Consider the following 21,719-nt stretch of genomic DNA (forward strand, 5'->3'; position numbering starts at 1 on the left):
CCAGACTTCTGGCTTGGGCTATTTGGGGGTGGCAGTGGGGATAACTGAGGGGGACAGTTTTGGTGGTCATGGTGGGGGTGCCCGCAGAATAGCGGTGTACTCTGAGTACGTGCCACGTTTCACAACCACTGTTTGCAGGTGGGCAAGGGCAGGGAGCTTGTCCTTTCATTCCCTGCTGTCCTCCCACCTAGAACACTGCCTAGCACATAGCAAGCACTAAGTCAATAAGTCAATATTTATTTTTATTTTTATTTTTATTTTTTGAGATGGAGTCTCACTCTTTTGCCCGGGCTGGGGTGAAGTGGCTGAATCTTGGCTCACTGCAACCTCCACCTCCTGGGTTCAAGTGATTCTCCGGCCTCAGCCTCCCAAGTAGCTGGGATTACAGGTGGGCGCCACCACGTCTGGCTAATTTTTGTATTTTTGGTAGAGATGGGGTTTCGTCGTGTTGGCCAGGCTGGTCTTGAACTCCTGACCTCAGGTGATCCACCTGCCTTGGCCTCCCAAAGTGTTAGGATTACACGTGTGAGCCACTGCGCCTAGCCCAATATTTCTAACATGAAAGAAACACGAAGTATAAGGCAAAGGATCTTAACCCGCAAGGTGAAATCACCAAATGTTTCTTCTTCCTGCCATCTTCTAAGCCTTCCTCCGCACCTCCCCGACTCTTCAGTAATTCGCAGAGCAGCCAGCAACCAGCAAAACTCACCCCTGTGAGTACAACCTCAGCTGAGCTCTCTTTCCTGCCCTGGCCCATGGCCAGCTCAGGGACCACTGAGCTCTCTATCCTGCCCAGTCCAGCCAGCTCAGGGACCACTGAGCTCTCTATCCTGCCCAGTCCAGCCAGCTCAGGGACCACTTGGGTGTTTTGTGACTCACTCCAGTGTCTGAGGCCGACTTCATCTGGCTGGCTCTTCAGACACAATTGGGGTTACAGGAAATATCCTGGCTGGAAATGGGGTGAGGCAGATTGGCTGTCTACATGGCTGTCTGGCAAGTGTTTGATGACTGACCTATAAGCCACCTTCAGTCAAGCCTTTGGTTCACTGTCTACATGGCCAGGGAGGGAGTCAACAATAGACACTCCACCTCCGCAACGGCCAGTTCTCCTGGATCCATGGCTCCAGGGATGGAGGATGCTGCAGGAGACACAGGCCTTGCTTCCCAGCTAAGGACTGTGGGTCATCTCAGGGCGATTTCACAGTCCCAGCATGCCCCAGCTCTCAGCTCTGCAAATACCAAGCAGCCTGCCTAGGGGACAGTGGGCTCAGGAGTGCCCTTGGCAGGTCCTCACCTATCTGCTCCCACAGCTCTGTAGCAAGGGTTCTAACCTTTTTTGAGTGTGAAGCCTGCTGAGAATGAGAATGAGAGCTGTGGACCTGTTTCCCAGAAACGCATGTGTGTACTCTCCACACAAAACCTTGCACCGTTTCGGGGGCTCACACCTCCCTAAGGGCTCGCTAATTGAACCCCTTGGGCCTGAGGTTGAGAAACCTTGCCTCAATTCTTCCCCAGGTGATCAGGCCAGGGTGAGAGAGGACAGACCTGGCAAGCAGGACCCATGAGAAAGCCCCCTTCCTGGACTTTGAGGCCCGCTCCCTCCTGCCCCTGCCTCCCCTCTGCCCTGGACTCCTCTCTGCTCTGCCCCATTCCCAGGGCCATGGCCATGGGGGGGCTGTGTTTGGATACAATGGCAACCCTGGGCCCAGAAAGTGGGCAGGCTCACCTGGAGGGGATCAGAGTAACATGGCAGGAAGCGAGTGAAAAGCTACCCCAGAACCGCACCTCTGCTCTCCATGTGACTGGGGTGCCATCCTCCCTTACCTACCTCAGGCAGTGGCCTGAGTTCCACGGGCGCGCCCCACAGCTCCCTCTGCCGCCTCTCTTCAGGCTTGGGGCCACTGCACTTTCCCTTCCCCAGCCCTGCCAACCTGGTGGGGCACTGGGCTTCCCTCTCACAGGGTCCTGGGGACAGGCCTACCCTACATCTCATACCCACAGACAGACCCTTTTTTCCTCCAAGGCCTGGCCTAGGTTCTATGAGTTCAATGCAGATCTGAGCCATACCAAGCTGGGTTTGGGGAACACACTCTCCTCCTCTGAAAGGTAGACAGGGATTCCAACTTGGTGAAGGGGAGAGTAGGGCAGAGCCAGGCGGGACACGGACTGATCACCTGGAGAAAGTCACCATCAGCAGCCTTGGGGCAGGGGCGGGCCCAGCAGTGCCATCCCCTGGGTTTTCCCTGAGCAGGCCTCCGCTAGGAGCGCACGCTTCCTTCTGCCTGTCCATGGCCCACAGCAAAGGACTGGTGCTCCTGCAGCGGGGAGCGGGGCTGCTGACAGGACTGAACCTCAAGGTGAGTTTTTGGGGCTTCACTACAATACTAGTTTCTGGTTGCTGCTGCAATAAATTACCACACACTTAGTGACTTAAAACAACACAAATTTATTCCCTTAGAGTTCTAAAATCAGCCAGAATTATAAAATTAGCCTCACTGAGCCAGTCCAGGTGGGAGCAGGGCTGGGGCCTTCCAGGGCTCTGTGGGAGGATGCATTTCCTGGCTCTGAGGTGGCCTGGACTCTGTGGCTTGAGCTGCCCTCCTCAACTCCAGTTTCCTGCTCCATCGCTACACCTCCAACCTCCTCTCCCGTCACCTGCTCTTCTGTTATACAGACCCGGGTGAGGACATCAAGCCCTCCTGAACAAGCTGGGATAATCTTCCTGGCGAAAGATCCTTAACTTCATTACATCTGCAAAGCCCCTTTGGCCATACAAGGTAATTTTGACAGGTTCCTGGGATTAGGACATGGGCATCTTGGGAGGCCACTACTGGCCTACCACAACTGGGCAGCAAAACTATTACACCCTCCGGTATAATAGTTTTGGTGTTTCAATGACTGGGAGGAAAAGGGTTGGAATTTTTTGCTTTGGGGTCCCTCTTAACCTTGTATTTTTAAGGTCTGGGACTCACCAACCCTCCCCTTCCAACCAGAGAAACTCACTGCAGTATCTCCTTGAAAGTCTGGTGACGTGTCTGTCTAAGTGCTGGTGAGAGGCACAGGACCAACTGAGGGCCTCACGCAGTACCCCTGGCCACAGGGTGCCCGCCTAAGCCCACACCTGCTGACTGCAACAAGCCCATGGCCAGGACGGAACACAGAGAAGGGTCTGAGGCCTGGAGCGCGCCATGAAGGCCATGGGGCAAGTGAGGTCTGCTGAGATAGCGCAGGTCTGCGGAGCTGAAGTGCAGCTGCAGAGGCTGGTCTGGTGCTGCGAGAACTGGAAGAAGCTGGGAGCTGTGGTCCCTGTCCACAGAGATGCTGGAAACTGTGGCTGGGAGTGGCTCTGAGGCCGTGGAGAGAGAGCATCTCTGCCCCACGGCATCTGCGGGTGAGGGCAAGGTCCTCACCAGACAAGTGCAGCTCCAAGTCCCAGATGTTGGGCTTTTTCTTGGTACTGAGACAGCAGTGGGGCAGGGTGGGGCAGTGGCAGGAAGGCAGGGAGCCTCTCTTGCTACCTCTTCTCCATGCTCTGCATCTGCAGACTGAGGGAGGTGAAGCTGGCCAGGAGGTCAGTCACTTCATCCACCTGCAGGACGGAACAGAGGCTCTGTTATGGGACACGGGGTGTGCCAGGGCTCCTGGGTCTCTTCCACAATCCCACAGGCACAGAACACAGGCACGGTCTCTCCTCCCAGGGCGTGTGGTGGCTTCTGACTACGCAGCAGTTGACCAAGGGTCAATCTTTGACACCAGGTGGCCTAGCGCTGTCCTAGAGGGCAGGGCCATGAACACACACTAGCCACTGGCAACTTCAAAGGAAGTGAACGGAGGCTTTGAAGCCTGCAACCCCACAATCATAGGCTCTTTCCCCCACTTTTTTTGTTTGAGACAGGGCCTTGCTCTGGTTTTTTTTTTTGTTGTTTTTATAATTTTTGCCTTTTTCCACATGTTCTGAGAGGACCTTGCTTTGTCACTCAGGCTGGAGTTCAGTGGCAATCACAGCTCACTGCAGCCTCGAACTCCTAGCCTCAAGTGATCCTCCCACTTCAGCCTCCCATAGCGTTGGGATTACAGGTGTGAGCCCCTGCGGCTGGCCCCAGCCCACAGCCTCTTTCTGATACGAGTGTCTGGTGGCATCGGAGCAGGGTGGACTGGCCCTGAGGCTCCTGCCAGGCCCTGGGTCTGGGCCTGTGGCTGCAGCTCACCTGCTCTTTGGTACTGGTCATCTGCAGGCGGGTGCAGAGGTCATCCAGGCGTTCTCGCTGCTCATGTTGCCCTAGGCGCTCCAGATACTCCCTCAGCATATGGATGATCTGGAACAAGAGGGTGAGCTGAGCTGCCTGGGTTCCTAGGGAGGCAGACAGGCTGATGCTGCTTCCAAAAAGCACAGTGGAGCAGGTGCCAACTGGGGTCAGTGTGAAACAACCCAGGAGCCCTGGGACCAGAGGCAGGTGTGTCTGTGGTTAGGGCAGCATCTGTCCAGTGCTGCCTTGGTGCCGTGGTCTCCACACAGAAGGGGTACTCACCTGCTTCACCTCCAGACGCACAGCCTCTAGGCACTGGGCATGGCCCTCCTGCAGGATATTCAGCTTTGACTTGGCCAGGTGCAGGGGTGTGCGACCAGCTCGGTCCAGGGCATCTACACGGGCCCCTGCAGGTACCAGCTGAGGTGAGCATTCTGGGGGTGAGGGGGAGAAAGAGGACAGAGAGGGGAAGAAACCACATACCTCCTCGTAGCAGTGTGGTGATGACAGGAACGTGGTTGGTGCAGGCCGCTGAGGAAGAACAACAGAGACTTAAGAATCCAGGACCACCAGAGCCTGGCTCTGCGTGGCCACTGGAGGGAGCAGGGCTGTGTCTCCCAGACGCCTGTGCCAAGTTATGCCTACTGAGAAGGTATCGCCAAGGCACAGCTAGGTAGGACTCAGAAGTCAAGTTCAACTCCCTCCCTGTACAGCAGAGGAAACTGAGGCCTGGAGATAGGATCTGCCTCAGTGTGAGCCACAGTGCTGAGTGCTGCTGGGCTAGCCTAGGTTGCTAAATTGGCTCTGCCGAGGGCACAGCCAACTGCTAAATGATTGGAAGGCCCATGGGACACAGGCTGCTGGGCAGTGCAGCCCTGGGAGTGCAGGCCTAGGATCTTCCCTGACACTCACAGTTTCTGCCAGGAGCATGCCGGGCCCCACCCTCTTCATCTAAAGAGCCTTTCTTTGCTGCAAATGAGTTGTCTTAGTGACTTCTGACATGCTTACCCAGGTGCAGTGGCGTGTTCCCCAGCCCATCTCGCTGGTTAGGATCAGCACCATGGTCCAGGAGCAGCTGCACTGGAAACAGGCAAACCCAAGAGGAGTTGTCGGAGGCTTCCATTGCCTGCACCCTGAACCCCTAACCTAGCTAGAGAGGCTGGCTCAGAGTAGGGGACACGGAATGCAAGCATGGATGGCTGTGTTACTTCATTCATTCACTCACTCACTCACTTACTTACCAGAGTTCATGGGCAAAGCCCTGAGGGCCAGGAACTGAGGATTTGGGGAGGGCCTCTTGGCCTATGCAGGTGTAGGAATGAGATTTGAAGGGTTAAGTAAAGTTCTTCCAATAGCAGCTGCTCCTGGTGAAGGCTGTCCAGGGCATTTTCTGCTTCTCCCACAGCCAAGCACCATGGTAGGAATTAAGTCAATAAATGATGCTGAGCTCCATGGATAACCTCTCCCTCCTGGCAGTCTTGGGATCACCTCAGGGGTGTGCTGTATTATCACCAGGGTCTGCCAATACCCAGAAGGATGCATAGGCAGGTAGCCTGGATCCCAGACATCATACAGGGAGGTCAGGCTGAGCCTCACACCATGTACAAAAACTAATTCAAGAGGGACCATAGACATAAGTGTGAATGCTAAAACAGGCTTCCAGAAGAACATGAACATCTTGGGCAGGCAAAGATTTCTTAAATAGGTCACAAAAATACTAACCATAGGAAAGAAAAGGCCAGGCATGGGAGCTCAGGCCTGTTAATCCCAGCACTTTGGGATGCCGAGGCAGGTGGATCATTTGAGCTCAGGAGTTCAAGACCAGCCTGGGCAACATGGAGAAACCCTTTCTCTATACTAAAAACACAAAAATTAGCTGGGCATAGTGATGGCAGACTTGTAGTCCCAGCTACTTGAGAGGCTGAGGTGGCAGGGCGGCTTGAGCCCAGAAGGTCGAGGTTGCAGTCAGCCGAGATGGTGCCAGTGCACTCCAGCCTAGGCAACAGAGACAGACCCTGTCTCAAAAAAAAAAAAAAAAAAAAAAAAAAAAAAAGAGAAAGGAAAGAAATATTGATAAATTGGATTCATTAAAATTAAGAACATGGCTGGGCACGGTGGCTCATGCCTGTAATCCCAGCACTTTGGGAGGCCAAGGCAGCCAGATCATCTGAGGTCAGGAGTTCAAGACCAGGCTGTTCAACATGTTGAAACTGTCTGTACTAAAAACACAAAAATTAGCTGGGTGTGGTGGCATACCCCTGTAGTCTCAGCTACTTGGGAGGCTGAGGCAGGAGAATTGCTGGAACCTAGGAGGTGGAGGTTCCAGGGAGCCAAGATCATGCCACTGAACTCCAGCCTGGGTGACAGAGCGAGACTCTGTCTCCAAAAAATAAAAAATAAAATAGGCCAGGGCACAGGAGCTCACGCCTGTAATCCCAGCACTTTGGGAGGCCAAGGCGGGTGGATCATCGGAGGTCAGGAGTTCGAGACCAGCCTGACCAACATGGTGAAATCCCATCTCTACTAAAAATAAAAAATTAGGTGGGTGTGGTGACACGCATCTGTAATCCCAGCTACTCAGGAGGCTGAGGTGGGAGAATAGCTTGAACCTGGGGAGCAGAGCTTGCAGTGAGCCAAGATCACACCACTGCACTCCAGCCTAGGCAACAGAGTGAGACTCTGTCTCAAATAAATAAATAAATAAATAAAAATAAAATTAGGAACTTGTGTTCATCAAAGTATACCACTCAGAAAATGAAACAGCAAGCTCAGAAAATCAAGTCATTTATATTTGATAAATGATTTCTAACCAGAATATACAAAGAATTCTTACAAATCAATAAGAAAAAGGCCAGGCGCAGTGGCTCATGCTTGTAATCCCAATACTTTGGGAGGCCAAGGTGACAGGATCGCCTGAGCCCAAGAGTTAGAGAACAGCTGGGTAACATAGCAGGACCACGTCTCTACAAGATGTTTTAAAATTAGCTGGGCTTGGTGGTGTGCACCTGTCGTCCCAGCTACTTGGGAGGCTGAGGCAGGAGGATTGCTTGAGCCTAGGAGATTGAGGCTGCAGTGGGCAGTGATCAGGCCACTGCACGTAAGCCTGGATGACAGAGTGAGACTTTGTCTCAAAAAAAGAAAAAGACAGAAAACTAGTTTTTTTTGTTTGTTTGTTTGTTTTTGAGACAGAGTCTTGCTTTCTCTCCCAGTCTGGAGTGCAGTCACGCGATCTCGGCTCACTGTAAGCTCCGCCTCCCGGCTTCACACCATTCTCCTGCCTCAGCGAGTAGCTGGAACTACAGGCACCCGCCACCACACCCGGCTAAGTTTTTGTATATTTAGTAGAGATGGGGTTTCACCGTGTTAGCCAGGATGGTCTCGATCTCCTGACCTCATGATCCACCCGCCTCGGCCTCCCAAAGTGCTGGGATTACAGGCGTGAGATACCGCGCCCAGGCAAAACTTGTTTTTAAAAAAATGGACAAAAGAGGCCAGGTGCGGTGGCTCACGCCTGTAATCCCAGCGCTATGGGAGGCCGAGGCGGGTGGATCACCTGAGGTCAGGAGTTCGAGACCAGCCTGACCAACATGGAGAAACCCGGTCTCCACTAAAAATACAAAATTAGCCGGGCGTAGTGGCGCATGCCTGTAATCCCAGCTACTTGGGAGGATGAGGCAGGAGAATCACTTTAACCCGGGAGGCAGAGGTTGTGGTTAGCCGAGATCACGCCATTGCACTCCAGCCTGGGCAACAAAGAGTGAAACTCTGTCTCAAAAAAAAAAAAAAAAAAAAAAAAAGGACAAAAGATTTGAACATATAGTTCATAAAAGAGGATGTAAAAATGGTCAATAATTGGACACAGGGAGGGGAACATCACATACCAGGGCCTGTCGGGGGGTGGGGGCCAAGGGGAGGGAGAGCATTAGGACAAATACCTAATGCATGAGGGGCTTAAAACCTAGATGACGGGTTGATGGGTACAGAAAACCACCACGGCACAGGTGTACCTATGTAACGAACCTGCACGTTCTGCACATGCATCCCAGAACTTAAAGTTTAAAAAAAAAAATGGCCCGGGCATGGTGGCTCACACCTGTAATCCCAGCACTTTGGGAGGCCGAGACAGGTGGATCTCCTGAGGTCAGGAGTTTGTGACTAGCCTGGCCAACATGGTGAAACCCTGTCTCTACTAAAAATACAAAAATTAACTGGGTGTGATGATGCGTGCCTATAATCCCAGCTACCCGGGAGGCTGAAGCAGGAGAATTACTCAAACCCAGGAGGTGGAGGTTGCAATGAGCCGAGATCACGCCATTGCACTCCAGCCTGGGCGACAGGCAAGACTCCGTCTCAAAAAAAAAAAAAAAAGGCCAATAAACACATGAAGAGGTGCTCAACGTTACTGGCCATCAGAGAAATGCAAATTAAACCACTATGAGACACCAAAAGGGTTAAGATTAAAGAGAGACAACAGCAAGCACTGGCAGGGACGTAGGGAAAGGTGGAACTCTTACACTGCTGGTGGGGAGTGGGAGTGTGTGTCAGTACATCCCTTTTGGGAAAAGGTTTAGTAGTACCTACTAAAGCTAAATACATGTGTACCCTAGTGACCCAACAATGCCATTCCTAGGTTTATAGAGGATAGATGAGTGTTTACAGCCACAAATCACATATACAAGAATGTTCACAACACTTCATTCATAAAGCTAAAACCTGGAAACACCACAAATGTCCGTCAATAGTAGAATGGATAAATGGGGTATATCACAATGAAATACAAACCAGCATAAGAAAGTACTAACTACAGTCCACCCTCCCTAACTGTGAATACTGTGTCCACAGATTCAATGAACCCTGGACTCAGAACCCGAGGATATGGAGGGCCAACTTCAAAGGACTTGAGCATCCATGGAGTTTGGTATCTGAGTGGGGTCCTGGAACCAATCCCAAGAACACTGAGGGAAGACTGTACTGATATAGGCAGTATTCATGGGTGAATCTCATGGAGATAACTTTGAGTAAAAGTATGCAAGGCTGGTGCAGTGGCTCACGCCTGTAATCCCAGCACTTTGGGAGGCCAAGGCAGGTGGATCACGAGGTCAGGAGTTCAAGACCAGCCTGGCCAACATGGTGAAACCCCATCTCTACTAAAAAATACAAAAAAATTAACCGGTGTGGCCGGGTGCAGTCTCTCATGCCTGTAATCCCAGCACTTTGGGAAGCCGAGGCGGGTGGATCACGAGGTCAGGAGATCGAGACCATACTGGCTAATACAGTGAAACCCCGTCTCTACTAAAAACATATAAAAAATTAGCCAGGCATGGTGGCGGGTGCCTGTAGTCCCAGCTACTTGGGAGGCTGAGGCAGGAGAATGGCGTGAACCCGGGAGGCAGAGCTTACAGTGAACCGAGATGGCACCACTGCACTCCAGCCTGGGCGACAGAGCGAGACTCCATCTCAAAAAAAAAAAAGACTCCTATAAAAAGAGAAAAGCTGTCCTGCTGCTGTGGTTGGCACTGAGTAAATGTTACCTGAAAGTCTTGAAGGCCTGGGCCCTGCACTCTCCAGTGGTCTCTTAGTTGGAGATATCCCTTCATCCTCAGTCAATCATATTATCTCCCCCAGGTTTACCCTGCCCCAGTCTAACATTGCCAGTTCCACAGGCTAACAGAGGGAGAAGGGCAGGGCACTGCAGTGCCAAGTCTTCCTTATATCCAGAACAACTGGGCATCCCAAGGCTGTGCAGACAGCAGCGCCTCCCCCAAGGCCTGTGCAGAGACACTACTTGCCTAGCCCTACTCCCTCCTCCCTCCCCAGGACTCACCAATCTGGTCATTGCCATTGCATGAGGCAAAGTGTAGAGCTGTGCGGCCCTTGTCATCAGCTGCACAGGGATCCGCGCCATCTTCCAGCAGCTGCTGCACTGACACCACCAAGACAGAGGGAGGAAGGGGGAGAAAGCGGCGATGTTAGCTAAGCTGCAGACCCGAGCGATGGAGAGGGAGGCTCAGGGGTGCCTCTAGACAAGACATCGACAATGCATAGGAAAGCAGCCCTTCCTAGATGCTGGTCCTATGGGAACAAGCAACTTGTTCTTCTGAGGGCACAACTGAAGGCCATGGATTCTGAGTGCTCAAACTACACGTCTAGTGATAGAACATCGTAGGAGGTTCAAGGCCCTCAGGGTCAGAAATTTTAGGGTCACAGGAATCCCTAGCATAGACAGTGGTCCCCCTCCCGTGACCTCGGCTTGGATACACATCCATTCTGGCTGGAAACAGCTGCCCAAGCTATTGGCCTATGCTATGCTCCCAGCAGGCAGCAATCCCCCAGCTACTTGGGGCCTCCCAAGTAGCCCCCAGCTAATTTTTGTATTTTTAGTAGAGACGGGGTTTCACCATATTGGTCAGGCTGGTCTCGACCTCCTGACCTTAGGTGATCCGCCCACTTCAGCCTCCCAAAGTGCTGGGATTACAGGCGTGAGCCACCACACCCGGCCCGAAAAAATGTTTATGATACACAAAAAATTATGCAGGCTACAGCATGTGTATATAGCAGTTTGCAAGCCAGCCCATAAAGAAAATTCCAGTGTATAGGAAAGAAGCCTTGAAGGATATTCATCAAAATATTAACAGATTAGTTCCTTTGCGGACATGGATTTTTTCTTATATATTTCTCTAATTTCCACAACATTTTTAAAAAATTTTTTTCTTATGTTATTTATTTATTTGAGACAGAATTTCGCTCTGTCGCGCAGGCTAGAGTGCAGTGGCGTCATCTCCGCTCACTGCAAGCTCTGTCTCCCAGGTTCACACCATTCTCCTGCCGCAGCCTCCCAAGTAGCTGGCACTACAGGCGCCCACCACCACGTCCGGCTAATTTTTTGTATTTTCAGTAGAGATGGGGTTTCACAGTGTTAGCCAGGATGGTCTCGATCTCCTAACCTCGTGATCTGCCCAGCTCGGCCTCCCAAAGTGCTGGGATTACAGGCGTGAGCCACCGCGCCCAGCTAACATTTACTTTTTGTAGAGACGAGGTCTCCCTATGTTGTCCAGGCTGGTCTCAAACTCCTGAGCCCAAGTGATCCTCTTGCCTTAGCCTCCCAAAGTGCTGGGATTACAGGCATGAGCCACCTCACCTGGCCGTGGCAGCTAAGTTGAGTATTCACTCCCATTAACCACAAGTTCCAAAGTTAGTGCCTACTCTTTGCAGAAGACTGTGCTGGCTGCCAGGGATACAAAAGTATACATGGTCTCCACCATCAAGGAGTCCACAGGGTGGTAAATGCTATGACATCAGGAAGTTCAAAGTGACAGGGGAGCATGGGGAGAGTGAGTGTCTAAGCCAGACTTACCTTCAGCAAGATGACTGCACAGTCAGACAATAAATACAGTGAGCCTGCTCCAAGGGCGTGAGTTTGCAGACTGCCTTCCCACATATTGATTACCTGGCCTTTTCCTTCCCCAACCAGCCCATGGGACCCTGTAGCTGGACCTACTGTGCACACTCACCTGTTTCCACATCATTGGCATTGGCCGAGTCCCTCAGTCTCTTCAGAGCTGTAAAGAGAGTAACGGATGCCAGTTTAAAAAAACAGCCATGGCTGGGTGCGGTGGCTCATGCCTATAATCCCAGCACTCTGGGAGGCCAAGGCAGGCAGATCACAAGGTCAGGAGATCGAGACCATCCTGGCTAACATGGTGAAACCCCATCTCTACTAAAAATACAAAAAAATTAGCCGGGCGTGGTGGCAGGTGCCTGTAGTCCCAGCTACTCGGGAGGCTGAGGCGGGTGAATGGCGTGAACCTGGGAGGTGGAGCTTGCAGTGAGCAGAGATCGCGCCACTGCACTCCAGCCTGGGTGACAGAGTGAGACTCCGTCTCAAAACAAACAAACAAACAAACACACACAAAAAAAACACAGCCATTGGCTGGGCATGATGGCTCACGTCTGTAATCCCAGCACTTTGGGAGGCCGAGGCAGGTGGATCACTTGAGGCCAGGAGTTCAAAACCAGCCTGGACAACATGGTGAAACCCCATCTCTACTAAAAATACAAAAAAATTAGCCGGGTGTGGTGCACATGCCTGTAATCCCAGCTACTCTGGAGGCTGAGGTAGGAGAATCACTTGAACCCAGGACATGGAGGTTGCAGTAAGCCAAAATCGCGCCACTGCACTCCAGCCTGGGTGACAGAGTGAGACGCTGTCTCAGAAAAAAACAAAAACAACAAAAACCAACAAAAAAAACCCAGCCATCTAGCTGGGTGTGGTGGTGTGCACGTGTAACACCAGCTACTTAGGAGGCCGAGGTAGGAGAATGGGTTGAAGCCGGAAGGCGGAGGCTACAGTGAGATGAGATCACGCCACTGCATTCCAGCCTGGGCAACAAAGTGAGACTGTCTCAGGAAAAAAAAAAAAAAAAAAAGCCACAATGGCTGGGCGCAGTGGCTCATGCCTATAATCCCGGTACTTTGGGAGGCCAAGGCAGGTGGATCACTTGAGGCCAGGAGTTCAAGACCAGCCTGGCCAACATGCTGAAACCCCATCTCTACTAAAAATACAAAACTAGCCATACGTGGTGACTCACGCCTGTAATCCCAGAACGTTGGAAAGCTGAGGTGGGCAGATTGCCTGTGCTCTGGAGTTTGAAACCACCCTGGGCAACATGGTGAAACCTTGTCTATACTAAAATACAAAAAATTAGTTGGGCATGGGGGTGCACGCCTACAATCCCAGCTACTTGGGAGGCTCAGGCAGGAGAATCGCTTAAGCCCAGGAGGCAGAGGTTGCAGTGAGCCAAGACTGTGCCACTGTACTCCAGCTCGGGCAACAGAGTGAGACTCTGTCTCACACAAACACACACACACACACACACACACACAAAAAACATAGGCCGGGCACAGTGGCTCACGCCTGTAATCCCAACACTTTGAGAGGCCAAGGTGGGTGGATCACGAGGTCAGGAGTTTGAGACCAGCCTGGCCAATAAGGTGAAATCCCTTCTCTACTAAAAATACAAAAATTAGCCAGGCATGGTGGTGCATGCCTGTTATCCCAACTACTCAGGAGGCTAAGGCAGGAGAATCACTTGAACTTGAGAGCCGGAGGTTGCAGTGAGCCAAGATCGCGCCACTGCACTCCAGCCTGGGCAATAGAGCAAGACTCTGTCTCAAAATAAATAAATAAATAAATAAATAAATAAATAAATAAATAAATAAATAAAATAAAAACACAAAAATTAGCCGGGTGTGGTGGTGCATGCCTGTAATCCCAGCTACTTGGGAGGCTGAGACACGAGAATCACTTGAGCCCAAAATCACACCATGGCACTCCAGCCTGGGTGGCAGAGCAACACTCCATCTCAAAAAAAAAGAAAGAAAAAATATTTCTCAATCTTAGGTTAAGTTCTAACTTAAATCAATCTAACATGGTAAAACCCCATCTCTACTAAAAATACAAAAACTAGCTGGGTGTGGTGGTGCGGGCCTGTAGTCCCAGCTACTTGGGAGGCTGAGGCAGTGAGCCGAGATTGCACCACCTGCACTGCAGCCTGGGTGGTAAAGCGAGACTCTCGTCTCAAAAAAAGAAAAGAAAGACAGTGCCCTGGGAACAAGGAGAAACTTGAAATGAGGCGGAGCTAGTACAAAGGCCACATCCTCCTGCAAATCCTCCAAGACTTTTGGAGCCAGATTTCCTCTCTATCACTTGTAGTCACAGGGTGACCTTGAGCAAGCTAGTTAACCCAGCTGGGCCTCAGGTCTATCATCTGCAAAACAAGGCTGAGTTGTTCTGCCAGCCCCGAGTTATTGCAAATGATTTACACAGAAGCTCTTTGTGAGCTGGTTACACAGATAATCTTATATTCTCCTTCAAAGCAGGTCGTTCCCAAATGATTTGCCTAAATTTGGTATTTCCTAAGCAGATTTTCCCCCTCCAATGGCTAATGGAAAGCAATGTCTTTGTCATCGGAGATATGGTCAAAAATTGCAATTCAGATACATGACAATTCCTTGCTTTCATACAGCACTTTATGGTCAATACAACGCTTCCAAATTCTTATTTCATCTTCGTGACATCACTAAAATATGGCTAGAGTCATAGCCAGTCCTGGAAGAAATCCCCAAAGTCCCCATTCTTAATCTCTCAGTGCCTGGGTTTCCATGTCACCCATGCATTGTAGAAGACAATATGGTAGATATACCAGAGGAGAAGTTTGAGTCGGGCTGACCCGGATTCTAATACCAGCAACAGCCACTTGCTATGTGACCTGGAATAAGACAATTTCTCTGAGCCTCAGTTTCCTCTTCAGTAAAGTGGGAACAATTTCTATGTCTCAAAGAGTTCTTGTGAGGACAGATGATCATGTATCAGCAGTGTTTGGGGCACAGCAAAGGCAGCATAACAGCTAAACATCCATTACCTTACTTAACTCATCCCATTTTACAGATGAGAAAACTAGGGCTGAGGCCGGGCCAGTGGCTCATGCCTGTTATGCCAGTACTTTGGGAGGCCGAGGTGGGTGGATCACCTGAGATCAGAAGTTCGAGACCAGCCTGGCAAACATGGTGAAACCCCATCTTTACTAAAATTACAATAATTAGCCGGGCTTGGTAGTGGGCGCCTGTAACCCCAGCTACTCGGGAGGCTGAGGCAGGAGAATCGCTTGAACCCGGGGGGCGGAGGTTGCAGTGAACCAAGATGGCGCCACTGCACTCCAGCCTGGGCAACAGAGCGAGACTCCGTCTCCAAAAAGATAATAATAATAAATAAATAAAAATAAAAAAATTTAAAAAGAAAACTAAGGTTGAAAGGGTCTATCATTTGCCCTAAGGTCTAACTGTGGTAAAGGAGTCCAAGTCCGTGCATTTAAACAAGCTGGTACGACTTGGCTGCAGGCTCTGGCCTCCCCTCTCCATGATAATAAAAGTGTTCCCCAGTACCTCATTTTATTATTCACCAATAAGCGTTCCGAGTCATGGGAAGTTTCCATTCAGAAATTACCCAGTGAGAGAAGACTGGGGTGACTGGCTCAGAGCAGGAAGACTTTCTAAAAAAACCATCATCACCATCGTTACTGAAAGGAGACTCAAGGGTCAGTGTGGCCCTCAGCGCAGACGTCGGGGGACCCCGGCTGAGGGTCGGGGGCGACCAAAGCGCGGCCACTGGTCCTCTGAGGCCCCGCCCCTCGCCCGGGCTGCCCCGCCCCGGGCCCCCGCGCCGCTCGCGCCGCTCACCGTGCACCTCCTTGCCCGTGGGCCCGAGCCGCCGGTGGGGCCTGGCAGCGCGCCTCAGCCGGCCAGCGGGTATCTTGCAGCGCAGCTCGTCGCGCGGCTCCGCATCCTGCTGCCACAGGACGTGCAAGTAGCGCAGCGGCGACTGGGCCCCGCCGGACGCCCGGCCCGAGAGGCCCGCGCCGCCGCCGCCCAGCGCAGACCCGAAGTCAGCGAAGGAGAAGAGGCCCTCAGCGTCAGTCAGCGGCTCCGGCGCCACCGCGCACTCGCCCTCCGAGCTCGAGTGGCCTGAGCGCGGCTCGTCGTCCGCGTCCCCGGCGGCGGCTGCCATGGCAACGGCTCCGCGCGGGCCTGGCCGCCTGAGCCTCGTTCCCGACCGACCAACGGACCTACTTCCCTCCGCCCTGAGTCGTGCTGTCAGCGAGCTGGCGGGCGGGCAGGGCCCGCAACCACGGCAACCGAGCGGGGGCGGGCTCAGGCCGAGACAGAGCGGCGAACCAATGACTACCCTTCCAGCTTAAACCGGTCCCAAAACCAATCGGAAAGGGAGGGCACAGTACAAGCAGGATAATTGGACAGGGTTTCCGGCAACGTGACTGACAGACATTGTAACCAATTACAAACTTGAAGTGACCTTGGCTTTCGCTGTACGTCGCTACCGGAGCCAGTAAAACAGCATTTCAGACGCTTTTTTTTTGCGACGGAGTCTCGCTCTGCCGCCAGGCTCGCGATCTCGGCTCACTGCAACCTCCGCCTCCTTGAAGCAATTCTCCTGCCTCAGCCTCCCGAGTAGCTGGGACTACAGGCGCGCGCCACCACGCCCAGCTAATTTTTGTATTTTTAGTAGAGACGGGGTTTCACCATGTTGGCCAGGATGGTCTCGATCTCTTGATCTCGAGATGTGCCGGCCTCGGCCTCCCAAAGTGCTGGGATTACAGGCGTGAGCCACCGCGCCCGGCCTTTTTTTTTCTTTTTCCTCTCCATTTCCCAGTCTAATGAGAAAACAAGCAGATACCTTAGCAAATCAGATTAAGATGATTTGCAGGCACTCACAAAGGAAAATGAAGAAGCCACGCCATCCATGTAGATATAGATGTTGTAAATCAATGAACGCAAAAAAAAAAAAAAAAAAGAACTTCCCACAAATGCATAATGTACGTGGGAAAGGGAAAATGTGTTGAAATTTGGAGATACCACTACAAACTGTGAGTAATAGTGTCTAAATGCAATGGATTTCCTTTAGTCAGAGTTCTCTAGGTAACCCCGACGTAGATGACTGATCTACAAAGATTTGTAATACAAAGTGATTACATTAGAGCAATAGTTTAGTTCGACAGCCAGTCACTGAGCCAGGTAACTGCTAGGTCCTGGACACAGGATCAGACTTGGTGCCCCTGAGATGCTCACAATCCAATGGGAGAAGACCAGGAAACAAATAAGTGTTCCTCAAGCAACATTTCATGGGTGCACGTTTTCATAAAACTTCTCACAATCCCGTACCCCACAAGCACTTCTATAAAGTAGACAAGAAGGACCATCCCTATTTTATAGGTGAGGAGTTGAAAAGCAGAGGGAAGAGACTCATTCACAGTTGCCCAGCTCTCACCGGACCAGGTCTTGTGTCCTGGCAAAAGTTCTTTCCATATATAAACCCTCCCACTCAACCCAGTTAAAATGTAATCTTTCCGCACGGTGGGTCACGCCTGTAATCCCAGCACTTTGGGAGGCCAAAATGGGCAGATGACAAGGTCGGGAGTTCAAGACAAGCCTGGCCAACATGATGAAACCTCGTTTCTACTAAAAATACAAAAATTAGCTGGGTGTGGTGGCGCACGCCTGTAATCCCAGCTATTCAGGACACTGAGGCAGGAGAGTAGCTTGAACCTGGGAGGCAGAGGTTGCGGTGAGCTGAGATCGCACCATGGCACTCCAGCCTGGGTGACAGAGCGAGACTCCATCTCAGAAAGAAACAAAAACAAAAAAAAGGCCTGGCGCTGTGGCTCACGCCTGTAATCCCAGCATTTTGGGAGGCTGAGGCAGGCAGATCACGAGGTCAGGAGATTGAGACCATTCTGGCTAACATGGTGAAACCCCGTCTCTACTAAAAATACAAAAAAATTAGCCTGGTGTGGTGGTGGGCACCTTTAGTCCCAGCTACTCAGGAGGCTGAGGCAGGAGAATGGCGTGAACCCAGGAGGCAGAGCTTGCGGTGAGCCGAGATCGCACCACTGCACTCCAGTCTGGGCGACAGAGAAAGACTCCATCTCAAAAAGAAAAAAAAAAGTAATCTTTCTCTTACAATTGGAAAAGCACTTCCAGAATTTTCAGTGTTTGCAGTCGCCATTGTGAGGTTTATCATTGTACTATATGGAAAAAAATGCTATGTTTATTTGTACTCTCCTCGTCTGCCCCATAATGGATACAGTGCTGAGACAGGATCTCTCACTGTCACTCAGGCTGGAGTGCAGTGGTGTGATCACAGCTCACTGCACTCAAGCTTTCCTCCCACCTCAGCCTCCTGAGTAGCTGGGGCCACAGATGTGTACCACCGTGCCTGGCTAATTATTTTTTTGATTTTTTGTAGACATGGTCTCACTTTTTTGTTCAGGCTGGTCTTGAACTCCTCGCCTCAAGGGATCCTCCTGCCTCCACATCCCAAAATGCTGAGATTACAGGAGTGAGCCACAGTGCCTGGGCCCCAATTTTTTTTTAAGATGGGGTCTCACTATATTGCCCAGGCTGATCTTGAGCTCCTGAGCTCAAGTGATCCTCCCACCTTGGCCTCCCAAAGTGCTGGCATGAGCCACCACATCCAGCCCCATGAAAATCTTCTGACTTCACAACTCCTTCTCAAATGTCATGAACATTTTGAGAATTGTTGTCAAATTGGAGCAACCTGTATCAAATTCCTGTCATATATGGACTATAAGATTTCAGGTAATTTCTTTTCTTTTTTTTTTTTTTGAGACGGAGTCTCGCTCTGTCGCCCAGGCTGGAGTGCAGTGGCAGGATCTCGGCTCACTGCAAGCTCCGCCTCCCGGGTTCACGCCATTCTCCTGCCTCAGCCTCCCAAGTAGCTGGGACTACAGGCGCCCGCCACTACGCCCGGCTAATTTTTTGTATTTTTAGTAGAGACGGGGTTTCACCATTTTAGCCGGGATGGTCTCGATCTCCTGACCTCATGATCCACCCGCCTCGGCCTCCCAAAGTGCTGGGATTACAGGCGTGAGCCACCGCGCCCGGCCAATTTCTTTTCTTTTTTCTTTTTTTTTTTGAGGCAGTTTTGCTCTTGTTGCCCAGGCTGGAGTGCAGTGGTGCAATCTTGGCTCACCACAACCTCCGCCTCCTAGGTTCAAGTGATTCTCCTGCCTCAGCCTCCCGAGTAGCTGGGACTACAGGCATATGCCACCATGCCCGGCTAATTTTATATTTTTAGTAGAGACGGGGTTTCACTATGTTGGCCAGGCTGGTCTCGAACTCCTGACCTCAGGTGATCCATCTGCCTTGGCCTCCCAAAGTGCTGGGATTACAGGTGTGAACCACTGTGCCAGGCCTCGGAGAAGGGTTATTATTTAAACTAGAAACTAAATGTCTCCCAAAGTTAGCTCGGTTCGAGCCAGGAATGATTAAGGGCAGTCTGAAGATTAAATGGAAGATGAGGGTTGGTTAGATCAGATCTCTTTCACTGTCATTATTTTCTCACTGTTACAATTTTTGCAAAGGTGGTTTCAGCAATAAAAATATTTCACAAATTTTACAAAAGCAAAGGACCATGAGGACATTGTTGGGGACCCTCCCTGAACCAAGGAAGAGACTGTGACTCTTCCTTGGTTCAGGGAAGGTCCTGAACCAAATCGAGGGTCGGTAAAGCTTAAGCTCCATTATTTCCAAATTTGTGTCACCTCTGGTGACAGCACAAGGAAGAAACACAAAACAAGAACGCAGCATAGGGAGTTGGGGCTGGGCATTGCAATTCTCAATAGGATGTTGAGTGGATGGCATCAGAGCAGACACCTGAAGGTGCCATGCAGATACCGATGGGGAAGGGAATGGGAGTGGGGGTGCCACTGCATTCGATTCTAGACTTGGATAACAGTGAGTGCAAAATCCCAGAGGTGGAGCGTGCCTCAGTGGGAAAAGCAAGGAGGGCGGCGTGACAAAGGGACCCAGAGAGTCCTGGTCACACAGCAAATCAGTGGCGGAGTAGGGACTGGAACTCGGATTTCCACTAGGTGTTGTGTATGGGCAGATGGCTAAACTAAGGCCTCTCCTTGACTCATACACCGGTTTTTATTGGTTTGCTTTATAACCCCATCTCTACCTTGAGGGTTTCCCCTGGCCTCGAACCCGGTGTACTCAAGAGCTGCCCATGTCCCAGGCTTCGCGACACAGCTGGCCTCATCTTTGCCTGCTCCAACTTTAATGTCCAAAGTTGGGTGGCTCCTGTTCTCCATTCCCTCTTACTGCATGGGACCAAATCTCAATTTTTTTTTTTCTTTTTTTTTTTAGACGGAGTCTTGCTCTGTCGCCCAGGCTGGAGTGCAGTGGCGCGATCTCGGCTCACTACAGCCTCTGCCTCTCAGGTTCCACCGATTCTCCTGCTTCAGCCTCCTGAGTAGCTGGGATTACAGGCGGACGCTACCACTCCCGGCTAATTTTTGTATTTTTAATAGAGACGGGGTTTCGCCATTTCGGCCAGGCTGGTCTCGAACTCCTGATCTCAGATCATCCACCCGCCTCGGCCTCCCAAAGTGTAGGGATTACAGGCGTGAGCCATCGCGCCCGGCCAAATCTCAATTTTTATCCCCAGTAAGTTTAGTCTTGTGAAGTCCGAACGTTTGAATAATTTACTCGCTGCAGGCAAACCGCCTACAACTAAATCCATCAGGCCCCCGTATCCGAATCTTCCTTCACGCGAGAAGCCGGCCATCTTTTGTGTAGCATTCTTTCTGGTTCCTCTAACTTTGCCTCTCCTTTACGCCAAATACGTGTCCTTATATCTGAATCTACACCACTATTATAGATTCACCTTCTTTGAGAAGTCCCTATTTGAAGAGAGGAAAATTCAGGCTACTTGTAACCCTCTTATTCTTTTTAGACGGAGTTTTCCCTCTTGTTGCCCAGGCTAGAGTGCAATGGCGCGATCTCGGCTCACCGCAACCTCCGCCTCCCGGGTTCAAGCGACTCTCCTGCCTCAGCCTCCCGAGTAGCTGGAATTACAGGCATGCGCCACCACTCCCGGCTAATTTTGTATTTTTAGTAGAGACGGGGTTTCTCCATATTGGTCAGGCTGGTCTCAAACCCCCGGCCTCAGCCTCAGGTGATCCGCCCGCCTCGGCCTCCCAAACTGGTGGGGTTACAGGTGTGAGCCACGGAACGCGGCTCCTCTTCCTTCTGGATATGGCTGTCTCAGATGGCCAGAGGCCTCGGAAAGGCTTCCGGTTTCCCGGCAGGCCCGAGTGGGGCTGAACTTCCGGCCTCAGGACGCAGGCGCGGGCCGCTCATTTCGCTCTTTCCGGCGGTGCTCGCAAGCGAGGCAGCCATGTCTTATCCCGCTGATGATTATGAGTCTGAGGTAAGGTGGCCGTAAGGGCGCGGTGGGCTCCACGACGGGGTGATCTCTGGGACCACTGGATGTGGGTCCCGGCGCGAGGCAGCTTCCGGGTCGCGGCCAGCTCCGGCCGACCTCCCGCCCGGCCCTCAGGCTGCTCCCACAGTTCCCGGTCCCTAGACAACCCTGGCTCTGCCCGCCCACTTCGCGTGTTCGATTGGCTTGTCCTTCCCCTTTCTAAGACCGGAGACTAAGGCCTGTTAGACGTTTCTGTGTTTCTGCACCTGAGTTTTTTTGGTCTAGGCTCCGTCTGGTCAAATCTCGCTGATTCCCACAGCCTCTTGTCCTTTGCTCCACCTCATTGCACCCGTAATGTTGTATTGTCATTGTCTGTTTACTGTCCCTTTTCTCTAAGGCGTGTGAGTTCCTCAAAGGCAGGCACAGTGTCTTATTCGCCTCTGTATCCTTAGCTCTCTGCTTGGCATCTAGACTCTAGGATGAGCGTTTTGAATTCACGACTTGGCGGCTGTCCTTGACTGTGTCTCTTTCCTTCTAGGCGGCTTATGACCCCTACGCTTATCCCAGCGACTATGATATGCACACAGGTGAGACCACGGGTTAGGCTGGCTGAGTACTCGTAGGGATCAGTTCCTTTGGAATGTCTTAGAACCAGCTCTGACAGGCATCAA

General features: G+C 51.5%; 2 protein-coding genes and 2 non-coding genes across 20 annotated transcripts in view, besides 4 other annotated features; 1 reads left to right on the top strand and 3 right to left on the bottom strand.

The window, feature by feature from the left end:
* Positions 1–2,426: 2,426 nt before the first annotated feature.
* ANKRD54 (ankyrin repeat domain 54) lies at positions 2,427–20,913 on the bottom strand. Of its 14 annotated transcripts, XM_047441140.1 has the most exons (9): positions 15,189–15,420; positions 11,759–11,806; positions 10,072–10,170; positions 5,489–5,549; positions 5,256–5,327; positions 4,731–4,778; positions 4,530–4,654; positions 4,209–4,316; positions 2,427–3,589 (listed from the first exon to the last, which is right to left on the bottom strand). In XM_047441140.1, the coding sequence occupies exons 2-9, from the start codon at positions 11,777–11,779 to the stop codon at positions 3,515–3,517; spliced, it is 609 nt and encodes a 202-aa protein (XP_047297096.1). In that variant the 5' UTR covers positions 11,780–11,806; positions 15,189–15,420; the 3' UTR covers positions 2,427–3,514. The 14 variants fall into 14 exon arrangements, 10 of the variants coding, with proteins under 10 accessions (XP_047297096.1, NP_001336782.1, XP_047297094.1 ...); NR_146280.1 differs by lacking the exons at positions 5,489–5,549; positions 15,189–15,420 and adding an exon at positions 15,483–16,019 and having other exon boundaries at positions 5,256–5,322; positions 10,072–10,165; NR_036556.2 differs by lacking the exons at positions 5,489–5,549; positions 15,189–15,420 and adding an exon at positions 15,483–16,019 and having other exon boundaries at positions 10,072–10,165.
* Positions 15,377–16,076: a silencer, noted in NCBI's record as "silent region_13702". NCBI's record gives its function as "represses an Ori minimal core promoter by ATAC-STARR-seq in GM12878 lymphoblastoid cells {active_cell/tissue: GM12878}" and the evidence as "EXISTENCE:reporter gene assay evidence [ECO:0000049][PMID:35858748]".
* On the bottom strand, positions 15,844–15,943 carry MIR658 (microRNA 658). The gene has a single exon (NR_030395.1). It is a non-coding gene; the product is annotated as a microRNA 658 (primary transcript).
* Positions 19,250–19,346, bottom strand: MIR659 (microRNA 659). The gene has a single exon (NR_030396.1). It is a non-coding gene; the product is annotated as a microRNA 659 (primary transcript).
* Positions 20,110–20,632: an enhancer, noted in NCBI's record as "NANOG-H3K27ac-H3K4me1 hESC enhancer chr22:38244545-38245067 (GRCh37/hg19 assembly coordinates)". NCBI's record gives its function as "activates a minimal SCP1, AML or CMV promoter by ChIP-STARR-seq in primed H9 embryonic stem cells {active_cell/tissue: H9 hESC(primed)}" and the evidence as "EXISTENCE:reporter gene assay evidence [ECO:0000049][PMID:30033119]".
* Positions 20,633–21,155: an enhancer, noted in NCBI's record as "NANOG-H3K27ac-H3K4me1 hESC enhancer chr22:38245068-38245590 (GRCh37/hg19 assembly coordinates)". NCBI's record gives its function as "activates a minimal SCP1, AML or CMV promoter by ChIP-STARR-seq in primed H9 embryonic stem cells {active_cell/tissue: H9 hESC(primed)}" and the evidence as "EXISTENCE:reporter gene assay evidence [ECO:0000049][PMID:30033119]".
* Positions 20,991–21,719, top strand: part of EIF3L (eukaryotic translation initiation factor 3 subunit L) — a 39,989-nt gene continuing 39,260 nt past the window's right edge. For all 4 annotated transcript variants that reach the window (NM_016091.4, XM_006724260.5, NM_001242923.2 and 1 more), the window contains exons 1-2: positions 20,991–21,054; positions 21,587–21,635. In NM_016091.4, the coding sequence (NP_057175.1) occupies positions 21,022–21,054; positions 21,587–21,635 (82 nt within the window). In that variant the 5' untranslated portion in view covers positions 20,991–21,021. The remainder of the gene's footprint in view (positions 21,055–21,586; positions 21,636–21,719) is intronic.
* Positions 21,156–21,677: an enhancer, noted in NCBI's record as "NANOG-H3K27ac-H3K4me1 hESC enhancer chr22:38245591-38246112 (GRCh37/hg19 assembly coordinates)". NCBI's record gives its function as "activates a minimal SCP1, AML or CMV promoter by ChIP-STARR-seq in primed H9 embryonic stem cells {active_cell/tissue: H9 hESC(primed)}" and the evidence as "EXISTENCE:reporter gene assay evidence [ECO:0000049][PMID:30033119]".

Source organism: Homo sapiens, chromosome 22 (assembly GCF_000001405.40).
Source record: "Homo sapiens chromosome 22, GRCh38.p14 Primary Assembly".
NCBI classification, from domain to species: domain Eukaryota; kingdom Metazoa; phylum Chordata; class Mammalia; order Primates; family Hominidae; genus Homo; species Homo sapiens.